Raw genomic sequence first — 2,114 nt, forward strand, 5'->3', positions numbered from 1 at the left:
GACACACAAGCACTTTCACATCGAGGCTACTTTTCACCCCTTCTGCCTCCTGCAGGGACGCTGCATGCATAGGCAGGAGGACAGAGGGGCTGGTCTCAGGTGTGGCTTCTCTCACACCTGGCGCAGGTGGCCACTCCCCTTCACCCCCCCCCCCCCCCACCCCACCTCAGCTCCCCGGGTGTGAATGAGAAAGGGGAACCAAGAGATCATCCTTACATGGGACACGCCACAAACCCCAAAAAGACCCATTTGGTGAAAAGAAGTAAAACAACCACAAGGCTATTTTGGCCTGAGGTGGTCTCATGGCTGAAGCAGACCGCTGGTCTCTTGCCTGGGCTACTCAAATAATAACCCAGTGTGTCCTTCCATGTGCATTTTCCTTCAGGTTGAGCAAAAACACTTTGTCATCCTCCCACTCCTCAATAGAGCAGAAGGGAATGAAAGGCAACTACAGGGCCTTACAGAGCTGCTCCGGGGGCCGCGGGAAACTTATCAGCATCCTAGAAAAGACAAAACCAGTGGGTTGCATGTGGCCTCTGACACCTGCCACCCTGACTGCAGGGAGTGGCCTCCCCCACCTTTCACCTTCCCATCATTAGTAAGCGAAGTGACCCCCTACGCCTGGACAAAGCGCTCGAAAGCCCAGGCCCGCGGGTTAGCTCCAGCCGCTGGGCTTGACAGGGGTCAGGGAGGCGGGCCGGCCCCACAGCCAAGTCACAGCTCCAGGGCCTGGTCGCACCTGAGCAGCGCGGCCTCGGGCTGCTGCTGGCGCTGCAGGCTCCGCGCCTGACCCTCCAGCCTGCGCAGCGGGCACTCGGCCGGGAAGAACCTCTCCAGCAGGCGGCTCAGCACTACGTTCACGCGCCCGCGCCCGCGCCCGCGCCCGTGGCCGCGCGGGCCCCAGCTCCACGCAGCGCTCACAGACCGTGAGCCCGCAGGGCAGTGTCACCGGCTTGTGCAGCAGCCCCGGGCAGCCAAGCAGGTCGCGGGGCGCGCCGGGCGCCAGGGCCGGCCCTCCCTAGCCTTGAGCTCGCCGCCCGGCTTCCTCGCCAACAGTGGCCGTTCGCGCAGGCCGGGACACACCAGGCCGCCCGCCAGCTCCCCCAGCTCCTCCGGCCGCAGCGCCTCCAGCCTCCCGGCTACACGGAACGCGCCCAGGGCCACCGGGAGGCGGCCGGCGCGGGTCAGAGCGTCCCCCAGCCTCAGGCACCGGCCGCGGTCGGGCTGCGCCAGCCGGGCCAGCATGGAGCGGAAGAGCCCGACTGCTTTCTGGTACTCGCTCGCGCGGAAGGCCTCGTCGCCCTCCTCCAAGCGCTGGGCGATTGGCTTCCCGCAGCAGCAGCCCGTCACTGGGGCGGCGGCGGGACCGGCTCAGTGCTGATCCCCGCGGGGCTGAGACCGTGCGGGCCTGGAGCGAAGGCGCGGAGCAGGGGCGATGAGCTGCTGCTGGGAACTGGCCGGCGGGAGCGCGGCCACAGCCTTCGCCTGCAGAACCAAAAAAACGGTTTTAAAAATCTTTTTAACATCTGCAGAACGTGAAGAATTACATTGCAAATTAGTTAGAGATTGTATTGGACCTATAGATTGATTTGAGTATGATGGTCATTTTAACAGTATTAACACTTCTAATTCAAAAAATGGGATAACCTTGTCTTTATTTGTATCTTTTCAATTGATTTTTATCAATGTTTTATAGTTTTCATTTTAGACGTCTTTATTTTGCCAGGCATTTTATTTTTTTATAGCTATTTTCAATGGGGATTCCTTTTTCAGATAGTATGCTGTTGGGTATAGAAATGCACCTGATTTTTCTATGCTGATTTTGTATTCTAAAACTTTACTGTATTCATTTACTATTTCTGTTTTTCAGTATAGGGTTTTTTATACATAAAATCATGTCATCTGCAAACAGGGACAATTTGACTTTCTTTTTGTTTTTCAATTTGGATGTCTTTTCTTTCTCTTTTCTAATTGCTCTAGCTAGGACTTCCAGTGCTATGTTGAAGAGAAGTTATTAAAGTGAACATCCTTGTCTTGTTCTAGATCTTAGAGAGACAGTTTTCAATTTTTCCTTATTCAGTATCATGTTGGCTGTGGGTTATCATATATGGCCT

The 2,114-nt window shown here is 55.9% G+C and overlaps 1 pseudogene; it reads right to left on the reverse strand.

The window, feature by feature from the left end:
* Positions 718-1,491, reverse strand: LONRF2P1 (LONRF2 pseudogene 1; annotated as a pseudogene).

This window comes from Homo sapiens, chromosome 18 (genome assembly GCF_000001405.40).
Source record: "Homo sapiens chromosome 18, GRCh38.p14 Primary Assembly".
Classification (NCBI taxonomy): Eukaryota; Metazoa; Chordata; class Mammalia; order Primates; family Hominidae; genus Homo; species Homo sapiens.